The 22249-nt window shown below is 43.2% G+C and overlaps 1 protein-coding gene across 4 annotated transcripts in view, besides 3 other annotated features; it reads right to left on the reverse strand.

Moving 5' to 3' along the window:
- Positions 1-16905, reverse strand: part of FAM120C (family with sequence similarity 120 member C) — a 114931-nt gene extending 98026 nt beyond the window's left edge. For 3 of the 4 annotated variants that reach the window (NM_001300788.2, NM_017848.6, XM_006724589.5), the window contains exon 1: positions 16151-16905. In NM_001300788.2, the coding sequence (NP_001287717.1) occupies positions 16151-16849 (699 nt within the window). In that variant the 5' untranslated portion in view covers positions 16850-16905. Of the gene's footprint in view, positions 1-7441; positions 7798-16150 lie in introns of those variants that run through there. The other variant, NM_198456.3, reaches the window with a different exon arrangement.
- Positions 16398-16447: a silencer, noted in NCBI's record as "silent region_20861". NCBI's record gives its function as "represses an Ori minimal core promoter by ATAC-STARR-seq in GM12878 lymphoblastoid cells {active_cell/tissue: GM12878}" and the evidence as "EXISTENCE:reporter gene assay evidence [ECO:0000049][PMID:35858748]".
- Positions 16458-16667: a silencer, noted in NCBI's record as "silent region_20862". NCBI's record gives its function as "represses an Ori minimal core promoter by ATAC-STARR-seq in GM12878 lymphoblastoid cells {active_cell/tissue: GM12878}" and the evidence as "EXISTENCE:reporter gene assay evidence [ECO:0000049][PMID:35858748]".
- Positions 17238-17337: a silencer, noted in NCBI's record as "silent region_20863". NCBI's record gives its function as "represses an Ori minimal core promoter by ATAC-STARR-seq in GM12878 lymphoblastoid cells {active_cell/tissue: GM12878}" and the evidence as "EXISTENCE:reporter gene assay evidence [ECO:0000049][PMID:35858748]".

The raw sequence follows: 22249 nt of genomic DNA on the forward strand, positions 1-22249 counted from the left end.
ACCCTTTGCCCCAGCAATTCTCCTTTCAGGGATTTATCTTTTAGATATGTAAAGCACTTGGAACAACAATGAAAGTGCCTAAGTGTGAGCAACTCCTTTGCAAACACAAAATATTTACTGGAGCATTATTTGTAATAGGTGAAGACTGGAAACAACCTAATTAATTGCCCATCAATAAGGGACGAGTTAAGTAAATCATAATGTATACGTACAATGGAATAGTGTAAAACCATAAAAAGTAATGACAAAACTCTATCTATACACATAGAAAAATCACCAAGATATGGTAAATGGTAAGTGCAAGGTACAGAACATTATGCATAGTATGCTGTTTTTAAAAGGTATTTTTTGTGTAGAATATGTATATATGTAAAATGTGCATATATATATAAAATGTATACTTATTTGCTTTTATATCCATAGTATCTCTGAAAGAATACACAATGAACTGATAATATTGGTCCCCTCCAGGGAGGAGAACCTAGTGACTGGGAAAGGGGTGGAATATTTTTTATCATATATCCTTTTGTATCTTTTGAATTTTTGTACCATGAATTATAAGTTAATCAAAAGATAAAATTGCAGCTGAATAAAAGCAGAACATATTCAGGGAAAAAAAAAAGCAAACAATATGGCAGTGTGTAGAATGAAAACAGTCCTTTTACTCTCATTCCTTGGAAGTAATCGCTGTTCTAAGCCCCACCCCTGAAGAGTCTGATTCAGTAGGTCTAGGGTCAGGCTGGAAATCTGTTTTTTAACAAGAACCCCAGATGATTTCGTGATGAAGCAAGTTTAAAAAACACTTATCTAGTCAGATCACACAACATGGCAATTTATTCCTAGCAAAATACAATCTGCATTCAATCCTGACAGGGCAAAGAGCCAACAATGACCGTCAGAATAGTGAGCACTCTGGCTCAATTTACACATTTATCATCACTGTTACCACCTGTAAGCGCCTGGCCCAAATTGGTCCAGTTTAGTCGTTAACCTTGCAATTTTCCAGGAGAGTAAAATGATTTAGGAGAGATTCAACTATAACATAACCAAACAACTGATCAGAGAAAACAGCACATTTGAGTTTTAAAGAAAGCGAGAGTTGAGATTCTGAACGACTATCTATAGCTTTTAATTGCTGGTTCACCATTCAGTTCAGTGAATAGGGGTTGAGGGCCTACTAAGTGCCAGGATGCAGACAGCACAAAGCAAGACACTTAACTTGTGAGAAGTTATGGAGCACAGGGTACCATGGGAACACAGAGTAAAGGCACCTCAACAGTCAGTGGGGTGATGGTTTTTGAGAGGAAGTGACACCTGTTTATAGAACTCAGGGGAGGCCGGGTGTGGTGGCTCATGCCTGTAATCCCAGCACTTTGGGAGGCCAAGGCAGGCAGAACACAAAGTCAGGAGTTTGAAACCAGCCTGGCCAATATGGTGAAACCCCGTCTCTATTTAAAAAAAAAAAAAAATTAGCCGGGTGTGGTGGCAGGTGCCTGTAGTACCAGCTACTCAGGAGGCTGAGGCAGGAGGATCGCTTGAACCCGGGAGGTGGAGGTTGCAGTGAGCTGAGATCGCGCCACTGCACTCCAGCCTGGGCGACAGAGTGAGACTCCGTCTCAAAAAAAAAAAAAAAAGAAAACCTCAAGGGAAAAAAGCTCTCTGAGAAGACGTGTCTCATTTCCAACCATAGGTAGTCTAAAGAAGTGGCTTGCAAACTGTGCTTCCCCAAACCAGAATTTTGGTAGGTGGAGACCGGACCAAATAACTAAAGAGAATTGGTGTTTCTACTTTTTAAAATTTTTATTTTTTGAGGGTATCATTTTGTCACCAAGGCTGGAATGCAGTGGTGGGATCACGGCTCACTGCAGCCTCAGCCTCCCGAGCTCAAGCAACCCTGCCACTGCAGCCTCCCAAATAGCTGGGACTACAGGTGTGCACCGCCATGCCTGGTTAATTTTTGATTTTGTGTAGAGACAGGTCTTGCTATGTTGCCCAGGCTGGTCTCAAACTCCTGGACAGAAGCAATCTTCTTACCTTGGCTTCTCAAACTGCTGGGATTACAGGCATGAGCCACTGCACCTGGCCTGGTGTTCCTAACTTTCTCTTCAACCTGAGCTCATAGTCACCATTTTATGTATTATATACTGCGGCTCTTTCAGAAATATTTGAAGAGTATTTGATATTAAAAACCACCAGAAGTATTATTCAGTAGAATGTAAGCTTCAAGAAGGCTGAGGATTTTAAAAATCTGTTTTGTTCACTGCTGTCATCTCCAGTACATAGACCACTCACACGGAGTAGGCAACCAATGAACTGTTTCAACTTTCAACCAATAGGTACTGAACCAGGCACTAATATACGCCAGGCACCAATCTAGGTATGGAGACACAGCAGTAACAAGAGCCAAGAGTCTTTGACCTCATGGAACTAACTGTAGTGATTAACATTTCAAGATAGACACTGGGCTAGGCATATTTCATTTATCCTTCTAACTCTGTAAAATGGGTATTAGATCATTCATCCCCCTCCCTCTCTTTTATTTAAACAGAGAAAACAGAAGCTTGGAAAACTTAAGTAACTTGCCCCAAATAACACAGCTAGCAATATGGCAGTACTTGGATTTGAACCAATTAGGTCTGACTTTAAAATAATGCTCTTTCAGGGCTGGACATGGTGGCTCATGCCTGTAATCCCAGCACTTTGTGAGGCAGAGGGAGAAGCAGGAGGATCGCCTGAGCCGAGGATTCCAGCCTGGGCAACACAGTGAGATCCCATCTCTACCAAATATTGTTTAAAAAATTAGCCAGGCATGATCGTACATGCCTGTGGTCCCAGCTACTCAGGAGGCTAAGGTGGGAAGATCGCTTGAGCCCAGGAGGTTGAGGCTGCAGTGAGCCGAGATCATGCACTGCACACCAATCTGAGCAACAGAGTGAGACCCTGTCTTTAAAAAAACAAATGGTCTTTCCATTAAGTACATTGTTTCTCAAATAAAGGAAACTGGAAAAGTGGGCATAATCTGAGATCAACTCACAAGTAATACAATAAACACAAGGGCATAAAAAAAATAACTAGATTGTAAGCCCATTAGTGGCAGAATTATGTTAGCACTCTGCCTGGACCATAAAAAGAGTGTAATAAATGCTTGTTAAAGTAACTTCAAACTAGAGGCAATACTGCTTTCTGACCTCTGCGGTACTTGACTTCCTCCAGCTTGTCCCATATTCCCTCAAGCCCCTCTACCATGCTAAATACACCAAACTAGTGACTAACTTGGGCTGAGTTCTGTGGTCTATCTTCACTACCTGTTCTCACCAAGGCAAAAAGAAATCAGAGATAGTAAGGAAGTATCACCTTATAAGAAGATTCGAGGGCGGGATGGATTATGTATAAGTCTGGTTCAGCAATAGAAATATAGATGATTTACATTTCAACTGGAACTCTAACTACTAAATAATTACAGACTGAAACTACTGTTGATGCAAATATGCATCACTACATTGTGGAGTTCACCAACCAACCATTAAGAGACCAGACTGATAATCACAAAGCTAAAGAATAATGTATTAAAAGAATAGCAGCAATTAGGAACCACAGTTACTTCAAGGAAACATTGATAAAGTGGCCTTCCCTCTCAACTGTAGGAATTTCAATTATCTACAGGCACATACGTGGTAGTCTTTGCCATGAAATACGGCAGTCAAGCTAGAGGTAGTAGAATACTGATCCAGTGTTCAGTACACACTATTAAGGTACTAATTTTAATTTGCGAGTACCCAATTTTAGTACTTTTTTCTCTTTTCTGAGATGGAGTTTTGCTCTTGTTGCCCAGGCTGGAGTGCAATGACGTGGTCTTGGCTCACTGCAACCTCCACCTCTGGGTTCAAGCAATCCTCCTGCCTCAGCCTCCCAAAGTAGCTGGGATTACAGGCGCCCACCACCACGCCCAGCTAATTTTTGTATTTCTAGTAGAGAGTTTCACCATGTTGGCCAGGCTGGTCTCGAACTCCTGACCTCAGGTGATCCATCCGCCTTGGCCTCCCCAAGTGCTAGGATTACAGGCGTGAGCTACCGTGCCCGGCCCAATTTTAGTACTCTTAATTACTCTTAGGCTGCCAGAAGCCAGCCCATTTCTGCAGATGAAATCTTCTGTCACATTTAAGAACAAAAGGGAAAACTTGGATTTTTAAAAAACCTGTTGTGTGTCAACCATGGGCTGGAAACTGTACTTTAGATACTAACTTTTGTTATCAGTATATACAGCAGGAGCTTTGGCATCCAGTGAACCTATGATCAAAGTTTGTGGGGACAAGTCACTTAGCTTCTTCATCTGTAAAATGGAGATTTACTTAATTCATACCCAATTCTAAGACTTACAATTTATAATATAATAGCTGGCACAGACTGAAAAAGTAGCTATGAAAGTCTGTTTTGCAGAGATGAAGTCTGTGGTATGTACTACTGCCTGAAGGTCCTCAGAAATAATTTGAGACAAGTAGATACCAGAATAGGCATTTGTTTAGCCCAAAGCAAATCTTCACGACTGAGAAGTCAGAGGTATCATGAAAAGTATTCTTAGGAGAAAGAGAGCGAGAATCCAAGGGAACCTCTGGGTTACCTCAGAAAGGAGGACGGGAACTGCAGAGAAGACAATGATCACAAGAAATTTCTAAGTCTTTGAACTAGGGACTGGAAATGCTTACAGGGATGGGCAGCTAACATGAATGAAGGGGTTGAGTAAAGAAAAATTAACTTCCAAAAATGTAATATTTGGCCAGGCATGGTGGGTAATCCTAGCACTTTGGGAGGCTGAGGCAGGAGGATTGCTTGAGGCCAGGAGTTTGAGATCAGCCTGGGCAACCTAGCAAGACCCTGTCTCTAAAACAAACAAACAAAACAAAACCTTAAAAATTATCTGGGTGTGGGTGGCACATGCCAGTAGTCCTAGCTACTGGGGAGGCTGAGGTGGAAGGTTTGAGCCCAGGAGTTCAAGGTTATAGTGAGCCATGTTCACACCACTGCACTCCAACCTGGGCAACAGAGCAAGACCCTGTGTTTAAAAATAAAAAACACACACACAGAAATGTATTTTTATTTAAGCTGTGGGTGTTTATACATGCAAAATACTGGAGTTTACATTTTACATTAACGACATAAGTGAAAAACTAGAAAATTTATCATTACACTTTTTTTTTGTTTGTTTATTCTCCTTTGACTTGGAACTGGTGGCCTGACACATTTATGTGCCAAGAGGTCAATGTTAGGTCTTATATTTTTGTTACAACATGCAGTACAGAATTGAGCCTTGAATGCTTTCACTTCAAGTGACTAATTTGATCCTATTTCATAATGGAAAACAGCTGTTTAGAAATGTAGGCATTTCCAAACACAGAAGTTTGGCATAGTGTTTTTTATATTTCGGTAACTACTTCCGAGGTATTTGTAGAATTCGGCATTTCAATGACATCATGCTTCATTTTCAGTACCATGGCACAGTAATTCTGAATCTCCATTGTAGCTCTTCTTTCATACTCTGAACACTGAGAAAGGCTAATTGAACAATATTAGTTCATTTTCATCAAATATGTCAGAGAACCTTTTCTGGAATTCAACAGACAACTCCACAACTGTGGGAATGTAATTCAGGCCATCACTTTCAATTCTTGGAAACCAATTTCAGCAAAGGAAAGTCAGCCAGTTTATCTCTTGCCAAATGAGTTTCCCAAAGGCATAATTTTGCTAGGAACAAGCAAGTACAACCATACATTTGTGAAGGTATTTCTGAACAATGCTGTTTTTATTCATAGTGTCTAGATGAGTTGTAAAATCAACCAAACAAGCCAAATATTTTATTTCAATCTCTGCGGGTGTGGTGAATGCCCTTTGGATGCCAAATCATTTTTTTCAGCATCTTGAGTATCATGTTCAACTAAGCCAATCAACCTCCATGTCATAGGGCAGATTTCCATAACATGCACCTAATAATTCACCAAGCAAAGTATTCAATTGTGGTGCAAACCACAATGTTAATTACTAGTTTCTGATCTGACTGATTCATTTTGAAGCTTTTAGCAGAAATAGCTTTAAGTTTAGGTCCCTGGAAAGTGTTTCTGCTTCAAATTGTTTCTTGGGTCCAACAGTTCTTAACACTATTGCAGAAGCACAATCTGTAGCCATACTTACTAATTTTGAACAATTGTTATTAAAAATCTCAAGACTTTTCTCATCACACAAAATCCAGGTATTTCCAGATGTACCTGTGATGAGTCCAAGAGTCAGGTTACATCAAATTCTTAACACATAAATCATACCTAAGTGCAGTGGCTCTCGAACTTCAGCATGTATCAGAATCAGCTGGAGGGCTTGTTGAAATGGATCCATAAGCTCCCCCACCTTTCCCGCCAGTTTCTGATTCTGTAGGTCCGATGGGGTAGGGGACTGAGAATGTGTATTTCCAACATGTTTCCAGATGGTACAATGCTGTTGGTCTAGGACCATACTTTGAGAACCACTGGCTACGTATACAGCTAAATGTATAGCTATGTGGATGGAGTTTTTAATCTGTTGTAACCAGCTGCTATGTAAATCTCCAAAAATAATTTAACTTTTTGACTAAATCTGGCCCAAGAATGTTTAGCCATCGATGTTTGACATCCTGAACAAAAGTATTTCCTACCTTTGCAAATGCTTGTTTATAACATAATTTCTGTTGTACTCAACAAACACTTTTATAAAACTACTGCTTAAAAAAGCTTTCAACCCCTGGCAGTTTTTTCATTTAATACATAATTGCCTTTTGTGGCATCACTTATTTTATCTGTATCTAGAAATATAGCCTGTTGAAATTCCAAGTACATTTTTAAGTTCTTTTCATTTCAGCATTCATCATTTTTGTATAATGATATTTCTTTTTTTTGAGACGGAGTTTCGCTCTTATTGCCCAGGCTGGAGTGCAATGGTGCAATCTCGGCTCACCACAACCTCTGCCTCCCAGGTTCAAGTGATTCTCCTGCCTCAGCCTCTCGAGTAGCTGGGATTACAGGCATGCGCCACCACGCCCGGCTAATTTTGTACTTTTAGTAGAGACAGGGTTTCTCCATGTTGGTCAGCCTGGTCTCGAACTTCCGACCTCAGGTGATCCGCCTGCCTCGGCCTCCCAAAGTGCTGGGATTACAGGCGTGAGCCACCGCGCCCGGCTGTATACTGATATTTCTTACAATGGTTTACTTTTAAATGGTATCTTAAATCGTAGTCTTTCAACAGACACATTTTATTTAGACGTATATGAAAATTCATCAATTCCACAAAGAAATAGGCTCTCTCCTGTTCAAATACGTGAACTTCTTCCATAAAAAAGATTTTTTTCACTTTGCACAGATGTAGGAGAAATATTTCATATTCATCAAAAATATTATTTAAAAAGAACAAGCACAACAATCAATGGTGTTTCAGTTATCTATTTCTGTGTAACAAAGTAGCCCCCAAACTTAGTGGCTTAAAACAACATTTATTATCTCATAGTATCTGTAGGCATGGCTTAGCTGGGTCCTCTGGCTCAAGGTCTCCTACAGGCTTCAATCAAGGTGCCAGCCAGGGCTGCAGTCATCTCAAGGCTTGCCTGGGGAAGGATCCGCTTCCAAGCTCACTCACGTACGTGGCTGTTGGCAGCAATTCAGTTCCTTGCAGGCTGTAGTTGGACTGAGGGCCTCAGTTCCTCACTGAGTGTTGGTTGGAGGCTTCCCTCAGTTTCTTTTCCTGTGGGCCTCTCCATAGGGCAGCTCACAACATGGCAGCTTGCTTCATCAGAGTGATCAAGCAAGAAGAGCCAGAGAGAAAGAGAGAGAGAGTGCAAACAAGATGGAAGTCACAGTTTTTTATAACCTAATCTTGGAAGTGACATCCCATCACTTTTGTTGTAGTCTGCTCATCAGAAGCAAGTCACTAGGTCCAGCCCACAAACGGGGGGGACAGGAGGAGATTACAAAAGGGTGTGAATACCAGGAGGTGGGACTCATTGGGAGCCACTGTAGAAGATGTCTACCATGAATGACAAGTGGCACTTCATCATTGTGGCAGGGAGACACCATGGAGCTGTAGAGACCAATAAATGAAGACCATGTGGTTCACCAAAAGGGGTCAACCAGTATTGCCAGAGGATCTGATATTTCAGGAGTGGTTGGAAAGAGACTTTTTTGCAACATTTCTCAATTTTTAAAAGTTGGCAACAAATTCGAACTTGTTAAAAAAGAAGTGTATTCATATAATGCAAGTTAAATGACAGCAGGAAATGATAATCATTCAATTCATTCAACTAGATGATGCCTTAATATTCAGTCCAAGTGCATTATTTGATTTCAGATCCTGGTGAACACTACTGATCAATGAAAATAAACGAAGTTCTTTCAAAAAGAAAAGGAAAAAAATGTGTGGGCCAATGCAAAAATACATGCATGGGCCACATAAGGCCTACGGGCTGCCAGTTTGCCATCTTTGCCATAACCTTTGTAATTTCCTCATGTGATACAGATGAACGGGCAAGGGTTTTGCTTCTGGTATGCAAATCCTGGTTTCTGCCACTTCTACTGGTTATGTCCCTGGGCCTAATGACAAGGGCCGGAGAAATGATCCTGGGGACTTATACCATAAGTATTTTCTTACTTGTCTCCTCTACTAGATAGACTATGAGCTCCTGGAAGGGTAGGGTACCATGCTTTGTACCCCTGACTTCAACACTCCTTATCTCACTTCCCTACTTCATTTTCTCCACAGCATTTCCTATGTCACAAAACATATTTTGCCTATTTATCTTGTTTGTTATTTTCTCCATTAGAATACAAGTTTCATGAGGTCAGAAATCTGTTTTATTCACTGCTGTATCCTCACAATCTTGAACTTTGCCTGGCACACAGGAGTCCAATACATTGGCTGAATAAATTAATTCCGTTGTTCATAGTACTTAGCACAGTGTCTGGCACAGAACAGGTGCTCAAAAATATTAACTGAACTGAAAAGCATTGTCCTGATAAGAAAAATGGGGTAAAATTAGGCTAGATAATGGTGGGCAGATCATGAAGGCATGCCATGGCATGCCATGCTAAGCTTAAAGCATGAGAGTGAGGTGATCAATGTCCAACCTACTAGGTGCACAAGATATTTTATACTTTTTTTTTTTAATATATACAGGGTCTTAACTCCGTCGCCCAGGCTGCAGTGCATTGGTGCGATCTCAGCTCACTGCAACCTCAACCTCTCAGGCTCAAGCAATCCTCCTGCCTCAGCCTCCCAAGTAGCTGGGACTACAGGTGCGCACCACCATGCCCCGCTACAAGATATTTTAGTCAATATAATAGTAGCTGGCATTTATATGGCATTTACTACATGCCATATGATGTTCCAAGCATATTACTTAAATCATTTAACACTCACAACAAAATTTGTGATGTAGGTATTATTGTTAAACTGAGGCACAGAGCAAGTAACTTGCCTAAGCTTACATAATGAGTACTTAGAAGAATAGGGATCTAAACCCAGGCAGTCTGGCTCCAAGGCCTGTGTTGTCAGCCATTATGCTACACAAACTAAATATAGGAAAAAATGTTCTAGAAAAAGTTATTAAAATATAACTATAAAAACGCAATTATACTGTTTTGAGATATGTTAAAGATGAAGGATTTTGGTGTCAAATATCTTTAGGTCCAAATCTTGGTCCAACCATGTTCTAGCAGTGTATCCTTGGGCCAGTAACTACACTGAGCCTGTTTTTTTGTTTTTTGGTTTTTGGCTATAAAAAGTAGAGATTTAGGCCAGGCGTGGTGGCTCACGCCTGTAATCCCAGCGCTTTGGGTGGCTGATGCAGGCAGATCACCTGAGGTCAGGAGTTCGAAACCAGTCTGGCCAACACGGTGAAACCCCGTCTCTACTAAAAATACAAAAATTAGCTGGGTGTAGTGGCACGCACCTGCAGTCCCAGCTACTTGGGAGGCTGAGGCAGGAGAATTGCTTGAACCCAGGAGGTGGAGGTTGTAATGAGGCAAGATCATGCCACTGTACTCCAATCTGGGCCACAGAGCAAGACTCTGTCTCAAAAAAAAAAAAAAAAAAAGAGATTTAATCTGTCATAGGAGTAGAGGAAAAAATAGAGATTAATACCTCTCCTGTTGGGTGGTTGTGAGGATTAAATGAATATTGGTGAGGTACCTCGCCCATGTGGTAGCTATTATTACTACCATCAAAGGGGAATATATTCTATAAGTGCATTGCTAAGTAGCTACAAAACTTCTGAGTAAAAGGAGTTTGGCAATTCAGTTTGCAATCTGAGTTTATTTAGATGGAATTAACATATAACATTGTATAGCACTGATTCTAAATTCTTCATCTGACCTGTAAAGCCCTCTGTAGTGATTCAGTCAGTAAAGGCAAATCAACCAATCTCTCTCACGGCAAACATTATTTTATATATGTCAAGTCCTAGAGCAAATCTCCGCCCTCTTAGAACTCATTTAAAAGAGAATTATGCGATATGAAAATACTATGAAAGAGAAAAAAATATGAGAGAGGTAAGAACAGAGTACTCTGGTAGTAAAGGGAAGGCTTCATCTACCACAGCTGACAGAGGCTGGCTAGGAAAGATTCTATAGGATAACTTTTGAGCAGGAATAAGGGGGAATTTGCTATGCAAAGGTCAAGATAAACATAAGAAAAATACTATGAGAGAGGACACGGTATGTCTAGGAAACTAAGAAAATATAGAATGGTTGGAACAGGGGTGGCCAGAGGTGAGCACCAGGTAAGTCTGGAGAGAGTTTGGGATCAGATTGTGAAGGGCGCTGTCTGCCATGCTGAGAAGTTTGGACTCGGTAGGGTGGGCAAATACACCTTTGGGCATATAACAGAGTCAGCTTCTGTTTTCAGAATCGTGTCTCTGGCAGCAATATGGCAGATGGAGTCCGGAGAGTGTTATGGTAAAGGAACAAGTTGACACTGTCTTCCTGGTTCAGGTAAGAAATTTTGGCAGCCTGAACTAAAGCAATGGGGGTGGAAACAGACAGAAGTAGCTGGACTCAGGAGACATTTCTGACGTAGAACTCAAAGGATCCGATGACCAAGTAAATGTGGGAAGTGACAGGAGAGTGAAGAATTGAGGACTCCACAGCTTCTGGCTTGAAACTGATGAAAGACACCATTCATAGAAAAAGAGAGTACCAGAAGTGAAACAAGTTTTGGGGAAACATAATGAGTTCCATTTTGGGTATTTTTTAGTTTAAGTGACCTAAAAGACATCAAGTAGTAGAGAGCTGAAAAGATGTGTTGAAAGCTCATGAGAGAGGTCGAGGGTAGAGACAGAGCAATAGGAATCATCAGAATTTAATTAATACTTAAAGCCACAATAATGGATGAGATTGCTCAGGAAACAAAAGCAGAAGAATATGACTAGGACAGAAGCCTTGAGGGCACCAACATTTAAAGAAGCAGGCAGAAGAGGAATAAGGAAAAGAGAAGAAAGAACTAGAGGGTTACAAGGAGAATCAGAAGTGAGCTGAATTATGAAATCCAAGGAAGATAGTTCAAGAATAGGATGGCTTGATATTAATGATCTTAAAGAGGACCAAGAAAGGCTAAGAATGGAAATGCATGTGGCAGCTTCAGAGTGGTGACATCAGATATAAAGTAGCACTAGGCTAGGGAATGGGAATTAATACAATCTGCTTCTTTAAGAATAATGGTGAATAGGGAAGAAAGGAGATAAAGATAATGGCTCGAAGGAATTAGAAAATAAAGGGGAAGTTTTTGTTTTTCAAAGATTATTTGTGCATGCTGTAAGTGAAAGAAACCAGAGAGGCAGAGACTGAAACTGTAGAAAGGACAGGGATTACTACTTTTGAATTCCTATAACATCACTGTATGACTCACTTACTTGGCACTTAGCTTACACATTTGCCTTGTACTGGCAGTATTGTACATTTAGCAATGCTGGCACAAACTAAGTGCTCAAAAAATCTACTTATGATTGTCTTCTATGCATATTGTCTAGCCAATAACAGTGTACGATCATACACAAGAATGTATAAAATGAAGGAAACAGGATGGTGGGATTGTGTAAACTTTGAGCAATATAAACCTAGAACAATAATTTTTATCCACCACTTACTAGTACTTAGAACAAAGAAAAATTATTTTACCTCTTGGTTACCTCAGTTACTCAACTGTAAAATGGGGAGAATACCATGCACCTTGCAAGCTCTTGAGGATTAAATGAGATATTTTAAAAGCTTTTAATATACAACTTGTTGCCTAAGAAGTAATTATTATTTTGATTATTTTCCAACGACTAGAGCATCTAGAAAAGTCAATGACTTTTCAGAATGTCTATGACTAATGGTAAGTAAACAATCAGGAGGCATAGCAGCCATTGCTTTATCGTATTCTAGAGAACCAAAGCACAAAATGGTATCTGTTCTCAAAGTCTGGTTATTCATATGCCACCAACATGATTTCTGCCATATCCACGTACTGCAACTTAATAGCTTTCTTTAAATCAACTCATTTTATGTAATCATAATCATTCTAAAAAAGTATAGCTGTGAAATGGTGAGTCTGATGTGCTGATCATTTTTTTCTAATTACACAGTAACCATTAAAACAAAGCATTCATTCCCTTAATCACCCTAAATTATCTCCTGAATCACAATCTAAAACTGCTTTAGGTTGCTTTATTTCTGAGACCCTTAGGAAGCAATCAGGCAAGCAATTTGTGGGTTTACTTAATTTTCCTTCTACTGATTATCATTTACAAAGCTTTGCAGAGCATATAAATGAAACCAACCAAATCAAAAAATTCATCCCAGCAATACACACTGGATCTTTTCATGGGAAGTCCGAAGTTGTCTAAAGCTAAACAGACAACCCAGCAATTTATCTATTATTTAATCCTTCCACCTCTACTTTCTGTATCACAAATGAAAATGAGACTGGGAATAAAGGCCCATCTTGTGGTCTAGCCTGAAGAACAAAACCAAAGAGGGGAGAGATACAGTAGTGGGTTTTGTTCTGAGGCACTGACATTCAGTCAAAAGAAATAGTAGGCATGCAGATCATCCAAGTGAAAAATTCCCACCTTCAAGACAGTAGAACACTCCTCTGAAAAGGGAAACCACAATCGGTTATTAATCAATACTTTCAAGTCTGTGCTACAATCCAGGGAGTTCTTTATCACTCCAGTAACAACAAAAAAGTCACTGACCAGAACCGAGAGAGAACTTCACTCATTAGTAACATCGACAGACACTTTAGATATGCAATTTTGGAGCTGGTCTTAAATCCATTATATTAAGAGCCACACTACACTCTTAAAAAGTCACTTCTACAATCCATTCTCTTAGGATCATTGACCTATTCACTATGGAAAAAAACAATGTACCCTGCACCCAAAGTACACAGGACATTATGGAGAATACAAAAAGATCAGAGTTTGTTTATAATCTAGCACAGGGAATAAGATTTATACATTCCCCAAGAGTGCTTCTAAGGACTAAAGAGGACTGCTGGGAATTTTTCCCCAACATTTTATTATGAAAAACTTCAAACACATGGCAAAGTTGAGATAATTTTACAGTGAACATCTGAATACCCGTGACTGAGATTCTACTATTTTTACTATACCTGATTTATCACATATCCATCTATTCAATCCATCTTTTTTATTAACTGCTGGGATTTTAAAAATGAGACTGTGTAGTGAAGTATGACAAAAATATACTAAGGGCTGCTTCTCTAAAGATTTTGACTGATGGGGTATATAAACAAAAAAAACTTTGGAAACCACAAACCCATACTCAAGTGTTCAACTCTCCTGCCAACCTCCAATCAAAATCTATTCAGAGCTCATAACTGGCTATTCGGGTCTCCACACCCTTGTCCGCTATCTGAACTATCTACAGCCCTCTTCATGGCTTAGCACCATCGGTGAAGCCTTCCCCAACTTTCACTCCCTTACTCAAAATTAACCATGCCCCCTATAGGGGCCACATTTTTCATCACTTGCAATTAGCCCACAGTATCTGCAATTTATTATCTCTTTCACTAAACCTTGTCCTCCTTGAGGACGGGATCCCCTTATTTACCTCTCAGTCCTCAGCAAGCAGCTAGTACTTAGCCTACAGCAAGCACTCAAATAAAAAAGTAAGTGAATGACCTGAACACGTCTTTACCCAGGAGCCAAGGAAGAGTTTAGCTGAGTGGGGAAATGATCTAATCACAGTGGCACTTTAGAAAGATTCATTTTAGAGCAGCACTGTTGTTTAGAGTATGAGCTTTGGAGGAAGACCACATAGGCACAAATCTCAGCCCTGCCACTTATCTCTGGGTGACTTTGGGCAAGTTTCTAAGCCCGTGCCTCAGTTTCCTCATTTGGAAAACAGGGATAATACTGCTTTCATAGGTTATTGCGAGGATGATGAGGTAATTTTTTTTAAAAGAAGTGCACAGATCGACACCTAAAACATAGTAAATATTCCATCAATGTGGTCACTATTGCCAGCAACCAGGTTAATAACAACGAGGTTAAAAAGTCCTTAAAAGCCTGGGTGGTAGCAGTGAAAACAAAGTGGAAAGAATGGCCATGAATAAAGAATCTACCTTAAAATGTTCAGTCAGAAGAGCAAGCAAATGTGTGCCTTTTTTTTTTTTTTTAACCTTGTATGAGATAGCTCACGTTTGGATTAGTTTAAATTAAAACAACTATAATCTAGGCACTCTAGGCACAGATTTGATGCTGAGAACGAGTCTAGCATGACTGGACTCTAGCCACAAGCTCTATAACCACTGCAAGCTTCTCTGTTTAGGTCTTTTAGTCTCTGAGCTAAAATTTCTTTCCTCCTCATTACTCCAGCCGACACCACTTCTTAAGTGATTCCCACAATCCCCTGTTCTGTCTAACTGTAAGGACAACCCCCAAGAACCTTGGTTGGGGAAATAGGTTTGCGGTTTCTTTCTACCCAACCCTGTACTACTTTTCTTTTTCTTCTTCCTGCCCACCTCCTTTACTTCCCAAGCCTTGCTATTCTCTACACGTAGGAACTTGAAACCTAAGAGTATGGGAAAGCAACAGAGCAGCAGCAGTGGTGCCAAGAACTGGGGATGCTGCCAAGCTGTTCCCCAGGCCCCATATGCAGTGACCCAACTACATGCAGATTGGACTTAACTGCCTATGGGGCCTTGCACACTTAATATTCCTTTTTGCTTCTGCTCATTTTCTTCCTCCCACTTAAAGCAGCCTCCTCCCAAGCTTGTGACTCATTCAAATCCAATCCACCTTTGAAGACCCAGGTGAGGTCCGACTTCTTCAGGGAAGCCTCCCCTGACCACTTTAGTCCAAAGATATCCCACCACTCCCACATACAGAAAACAGGAACTGTACTTACTGTCTGGACCATAAGGCATAATCACATACACATTGCTATAATTAAATGTTTCATGTGTATACATTTAACTTTCCAAGGGCATGAGCAGTGTCTCACATGTCTTTAAAACCCTTACACTCAGTGAGTTAATACTTGCTGAACAGTGACTGAATCAGTGGGTTTTTATGTGTTTAGGCTAAGGCAGGAGGAAGAAGATGCATGTTGAAATGAAAAAGGCTGAATGGACACAGATGGGTAAAAAAGCAGCAGTGGGTGAAGACGGAAAAACAATGTAGAAGAAAGGTGTTCAGTTCACACCTGCTTAAGTGATTTACTGCGAGGTTGGAAAGAGATACAGGAGAGAGATGTCAACTGGCAAAAGCAGGGTAAAGGCATTTCAGTTTGAGGCAGAAGACACCAGGAGAAAGATGAGGCTACAAAAGAAATTCTGACTAGATTCTGCTGAAACCTAGTGGTAGGCCAATTGGATAAGGGAAGCTAAAGGGAGCTACTGGGATGACATGAGTAGAGATATGGCCATGTAGGTGAGTGAATCCGTAGGGGGTGGTATGAAGGGGGAGGTAAATGGATAAAATGGTAGAGGGTAGTTAGGCAGGTAGGTTAGCTGTTGGGCGGGTAGGTGGGTGGGTAGATGGGAGGTAGGGTAGTGGGTAAGTGGGTAGGTGGTTAGGTATTTAGTTGGGAGGGAATAGGTGTGGGGCTTATTATTTAAGATCCGGCCCCTCCCTCACCTTGACCCGGAAGCGGATGAGTGCTAGCCTCACGCAGTGGCTCAGGCAGGCCGGTGGCAGGAACCAGGCCCGCGGTGGAGGGGTGCCCTTGTTGCCCACGTGTCCCACGATCAGTTGCGCTGTCTGCCGCTCGGCCTGGCACCGACGGCCCCACTCGGCCAGCCGGTCCTTGCCCAGGCCCCCCGGGAACATGACCACGAGCTCCAGGCCGTCGCCGCCAGGATAGGCACAAGCCTGGCACAGCGCTGACAAGTAGCCCAGCATGGCGTTCCATTGGCCGCCACACACCCAATCCGTCTGGTAGCCGCCATAGAGCCGCGGCAGCGCCGAGCCGGCGTCCACCAGCACCCGGGCCCCGGGCAGCTGAGGGGGCGGCGGCGGCGGCAGCGGAGGGTGCAGCCCGGGCTGCGCTTGGCCATGATGGTGGAAGTGGTGAGCGGGGTGATGGTGCCGAGTCGGCCCCGCGCCCCCGGAGTAGGCACCCAAGGCAGCGGGCGGAAGCGGCGGTTGCAGAGGCACGGAGCCCCTGGCGGCGCGTGGAGCCCCGGGCGCTAGGGCTGCAGTCGGCGGCAGCTGGCGGTGCAAGTGCTGCTGCTGCTGCTGGCGCGAGACCGTGCGCGCGAGTTTTAGGAGGTCCACGGGCACCACGGCCCCGGGACAGCGCTTCTCCAGGAACTCTTGGAAGCCCTGGACACCCATGCTTCGTCGGTGGGCAGACGCGATAGCGGCTGCGCAAGCAGGATAGGCGACGATCTGGGCGCGAAGCTGGGGGCGGGCGCGTGCGCACTCCGCGGGGGGCGAGGGGGGGCGGGAAAAGGATTCCCGAGGGGAGGGGTGAGGAAGCGAGGGAATGAGGGCGGGGAGGGGAGGAGACCACAAATTGGATTTGGGTAGAGAGAAGGGGAGGGGCAGACCGGACCCGGGAGAGGCTGGGAGGATAAAAGCGAGGATGGGCTCTAGTCACTTCTCTTTTTTCTCCTTTCCGGCCGCTCTTCTTCCCGCTTTAGAAGGGGTGAAGCCTCTTTCTTCCACCTCCGGGAGCCATGTTGCCTCGTCTTCTCGGTGGTACACGCTTTCTAGCTGGAGGAAGGGGAGCGAGGAGGGGCGGGGCGGGGCGGGGAGAGGGGCATCTTGGTAGTTGTAGTCTTCTCTATGGCCTTAGGATATAGTCGAGGAACCAGACTACCACCCTTCTCAGCCCTTGTGCTCACAGGGTCACAGGAAGCGGGGCGTGATGATGAGTGTTTAGGAGTTGCACTCCAACTCCTTGCATCTCACTGAGTTGCTTAGGTTATTTACTGCTTTTTCCTGGAAAAAGAGTTTTGGGGGATGGATTGATGCATCATGGGAATGGAAGTTAGAGTGGATTGACTGAATTCAGCTAAAGTGAGCTAAAACTCCCCAGGAGGGAGGATTTTCCCCTTAGTGGAAAGATAATATTTAAAGAGCTGTTGGTCCCAATTAAGAAAGACGTAACTGGTCGGGCGCGGTGGCTCACGCCTGTAATCCCTCCGAGGCGGGCAGATCACGAGGTTAGGAGATCGAGACCATCCTGGCCAACATGGTGAAACCCCGTCTCTACTAAAAATACAAAAAGTAGCCGGGCGTGGTGGCACGTGCCTGTAATCCCAGCTACTGGGGAAGCTGAGGCAGGAGAATCGCTTGAACCTGGGAGGCGGAGGTTGCAGTGAGCCAAAATCATGTCACCGTACTCCAGCCTGGTGACAGAGCCAGACTCCGTCTCAAAAATAAATAAATAAATAAAAAGAAACTTACATTATTTACTTGCCTAAGGCAATGCAGAGACAAAGTTAAATCGAATATCCTTGCCCTCAGCATCTCTTTGGGCAGGGAGATAATTACCAACACAAATTACATTACAAATTGTACCTTTTTGGTACTCCTAGATCCACTATGTCCTATGGTTAGGGCCTTTGGTTTCCAAACTTCATTGTGTTTTAGTCTGTCGGGAGCTTTTCTAAATAGCTGCAAGGGCTCTAATTTCAGATGTATGGAGTCATAATCTTTTGAAAAATGTATTTTCAACATACTGAGATGAAACAGATGCAGTGCCTGTCTTCTTTCTGGCTTTTAGGGCCGGCCCACTCTTTCAGCAGGAATAAAGCAGAAAACAAGATCTGAAATGAGTAGTAGCCAGATCTGGCTTGGAACTTACTGGAAGATGGGAGATAATGGCAGGCAGAGTTAGAATGCAGAAGTGCAGAACCCAAGAGTGATCGGGATGAATGAGATAGGGGAATACTCTATTAGGATGCAAAAGCAAAAAAGCTTCAAGCTACATAAAAGAAATTATAAAATAGTGGAGATGGAACAAGCCAGATTGTCAAAGAATAAGTAGATGGCAAGGCAGTGTACATAGTTAACTCTTGAAAGCAAGCAGTGAAAGGAGAGAGCAGTGGCTTGAAGGGATGAAGGATGGAAGGAATGGAGGTTTTTTAGTATAATGGACACGTGTGGGACGGTCTGCCCAGCCCCTCTTTTCCGGGAATTGACCCTCCACCTTCCCCCATTTATAGGGTTATGGCAAAAACTGTCGTGTTCCTATAACCATAGCTTATTGGGTCAGAGGTGGGCAGCTAATCCAACCTGGGGCAATCAAAATCTCATTTTCTAGAAATTTGCAATTAGACAAGAGATACCAGCTTTTCTCTAAGTGTAAAGCTTGGAAGCTGTCAACCAATTTTCCCACCAGAGGGACAGAAGTGAAAGATGCTGGTCTGCAGAAAGAGAGAAAAAATGCAGACTTTCAGAGAAGAACAAAGGTGAGAAATAGAGTCTTCATTGTGTTCAATTCCCAGCTTCCAGATAATGCAGTGGTGTGATTACAGCTCGCTGCAGCCTCGACTTCAGCCTCAGCCTCCTGAGTAGCTTGGGACTACAGACACATGCCACCATGCCTGAATAATTTTATTTTTTGTAGAGACCCTAAAATGTAGAACAGATAGAGATCAGAGACCTCTGCATCAGTTGATAGGAAGGAAGTTGGCATTCTGTGTTATTTGGCAGTGAAGCATTTGCTTATTGCTCTTGGGACTCAAAACAGCAGCCCCTTTTGCTTATAACAAGAGATCTGCATTTGCTGAGGGTCAGATATTCATTGGCCTTGCTGAATTACAGCAGAATCTCAATTTTGTCTCAAAGGTTTCACCAGTTAGGAAACTGGCATCAAGGCAATTGGAACGAAGTTATCTATATCTGCCTCCTAAGTAGTACTCCTTGTTCTCCAGCGCTCCTAAATGTGATGAATAGAAGCCACAACAGGATGATCCAGGCTGTTTCCTTTAGCAGATCTGAAGCTTCAAAGAGCCTAACTTGACAAGATTCTTGGCACTTGTTTTTAGCATTCTGAGTCCCCTCAAAATGAAACCAACAGGCAGTCAAATAAGGTTTTAAAGAATCTGTATCACTAGAAGATCAAATCTGTGAATAGGGACCATAATTGATCAGCCAGAGCAGTGATTCTCTTTTTTTTTTTTTTGAGATGGAGTCTCACTCTATCGTCCAGGCTGGAGTACAGTGGCGCGATCTCGGCTCACTGCAACCTACACCTCCCAGGTTCAAGCAATCAGGTGATTCTTCTGCCTCAGCCTCCCAAGTAGCTGGGACTACAGGCATGCGCCACCACGCCTGGCTAATTTTTGTATTTTTAGTAGAGACAGGGTTTTACCATGTTGGCCAGGGTGGTCTCGAACTCCTGGCCTCAAGTAATCTGCCCACCTTGGCCTCCCAAAGTGCTGGCATTACAGGCATGAGCCACCGTGCCTGACCAGAGCAGTGATTCTCAAAAGTATGTCTCTGGAGCAAGCACATCAGCATCACCTGCAAACTATTAGAAATGTACATTTTCAGGCTTCACTTCAGACCTCCAGGATCAGAAACTCTGAGTGTGGGGCCAGAAATCTGTGGTTTAAGTAACATTAGTTAAAGCAGTGAAGACAGATTTTATTCAGTAACTACTGACAGAAGAGGAAAGAGTTGAGCTTCATTCTGATTTGCACAGAGGTGACTGGGCATTTTAGAGGGAAAATGAGGGAGTAGGGAAGGAAAGCAAGCAGGGACTCAGTAGCGTCATGGAAGTGAAAAATTACAGAGGGTTTCTCAGTATAAATGTGATTAGGCCAGCTGTGTCTGCTACCTGGCAATTACTGAAGTTAGATTTTTATCCTCCCAGAGACTGGGAGACAGAGGCCCTACCCTACATTTCAAAGGACTGGCTTCCAGGCCCTTGAGAAACAAACACTCTGTAGTTTGTAGGAAATACATAAACATCTCAAAGGAACAGAGGAAGGATTTACAATACTAAGCCCTTTTTTACTAAATGCCCTAAGAAAGGGAAGCAGGCCAGGCTTGGTGGCTCCCGCCTGTAATCCCAGCACTTTGGGAGGCCCAGGCAGGTGGATCACCTGAGGTCAGGAGTTCGAGACCAGCCAGGCCAACATGGTGAAACCCCATGTCTATTAAAAATACAAAAAAACTAGCCAGGCATGGTGGTGCACACTTGTAATCCCAGCTACTGGGAAGGCTGAGGCAGGAGAATTGCTTGAACCCAGGAGGTGGAGGTTGCAGTGAGCCAAGATTGCGCCACTGTACTCCAGCCTGGGCGACAGAGAGAGACTCCATCTCAAAAAATAAAAATAAAAATAAATAAATAAATAAATAAATAAATAAAATAAAGAGAAGCTGAGGCCTATCCTTAGGTGTGGACTAGAACAAACTGAAAGATTTTCCTGACAGGGAATTCAAAAGTGAGCTGGGGCTGGGTGCAGTGGCTCATGCCTGTTAATCCCAGCACTTTGGGAGGCTGAGGCGGGCAGATCACGTGACGTCAGAGTTTGAGATCAGCCTGGCCATCGTGGCAAAACCCCATCTCTACTCAAAATACAAAAATTAGCCAGGCATGGTGGCGCACACCTGTAATCCCAGCTACTCGGGAGGCTGAGGCATGAGAATCACTTGAGCCTGCGAGGCGGAGGTTGCAGTGAGCTGAGACTGCGCCACTGCACTCCAGCCTGCTCAATAGAGTGAGACTCCATCTCAAAAAAACAAAACAAAACAAAAAGTGAGCTGGGTCTTCTCAGGGATTCAATCTTAAGACTGCCAGAAACCATGCTAATGTTTGGTAAAGTCTCTTAGTGCAGGGGTTTGAATGGAGTGTACCTGCCGAGTTTTTGCAGGTCTTACTAGCCCTTCAGGTGATTCTAGCCGCACTCTTGAGTTTGAGAATCACTGCTTTTCTAGAAAAATACTCTTAGGCCCATGTCCAGACTGGTTAAGCAAGGAGGTACATCAGTAAATTGATTGCCATTTTTTATATGCCTGTAATTTCTTTCTTTTATTCTGATCCAGGTGGAAATGGACCTGGTGGCTGATAATGGTGTGACCCCTCCTTTCCTAAATAGGCTTTTTTTTTTTTAGATGAAGTCTCGCTCTGTCGCCAGGCTGGAGTGCAGTGGCGCAATCTCGGCTCACTGCAACCTCCACCTCCTGGGTCCAAGTGATTCTCCTGCCTCAGCTCCCCTAGTAGCTGGGACTACAGGCGCGTGGCACCACACCCAGCTAATTTTTGTATTTTTAGGTGAGACGGAGTTTCACCATGTTGGCCAGGATGGTCTCGATCCCTTGACCTCGTGATCCGCCCGCCTTGGCCTCCCAAAGTGCTGGGATTACAGGCGTGAGCCACCGTGCCCGGCCTAATGGGCTTTTTTTTGAGACAGAGTCTCACTCTGTCACCCAAGCTGGAGTGCAGTGGTGGGATCTCAGCTCACTGCAACCTCCGCCTCCCAGGCTCAAGCGATTCTCCTGCCTCAGCCTCCCCAGTAGCTGGGATTACAGGTACATGCCACCACGCCCAGCTAATTTTTGTAGTTTTAGTAGAGATGGTGTTTCACCATGTTGGCCAAGCTGGTCTCTAACTGCTGACCTCAAGTGATCTGCCCACCTTGGCCTCCCAAAGTGCTGGGATTATAGGCGTGAGCTACCGTGCTGGCCCCTAAAAGGGCATTTTGATTGTGGTTATCTAATTATTTCTCTACTCTTGCATATTAGATCTATTGGTGGCAATTAAGTTTATCAGAGGTT

Source organism: Homo sapiens, chromosome X (assembly GCF_000001405.40).
Source record: "Homo sapiens chromosome X, GRCh38.p14 Primary Assembly".
NCBI lineage: Eukaryota > Metazoa > Chordata > Mammalia > Primates > Hominidae > Homo > Homo sapiens.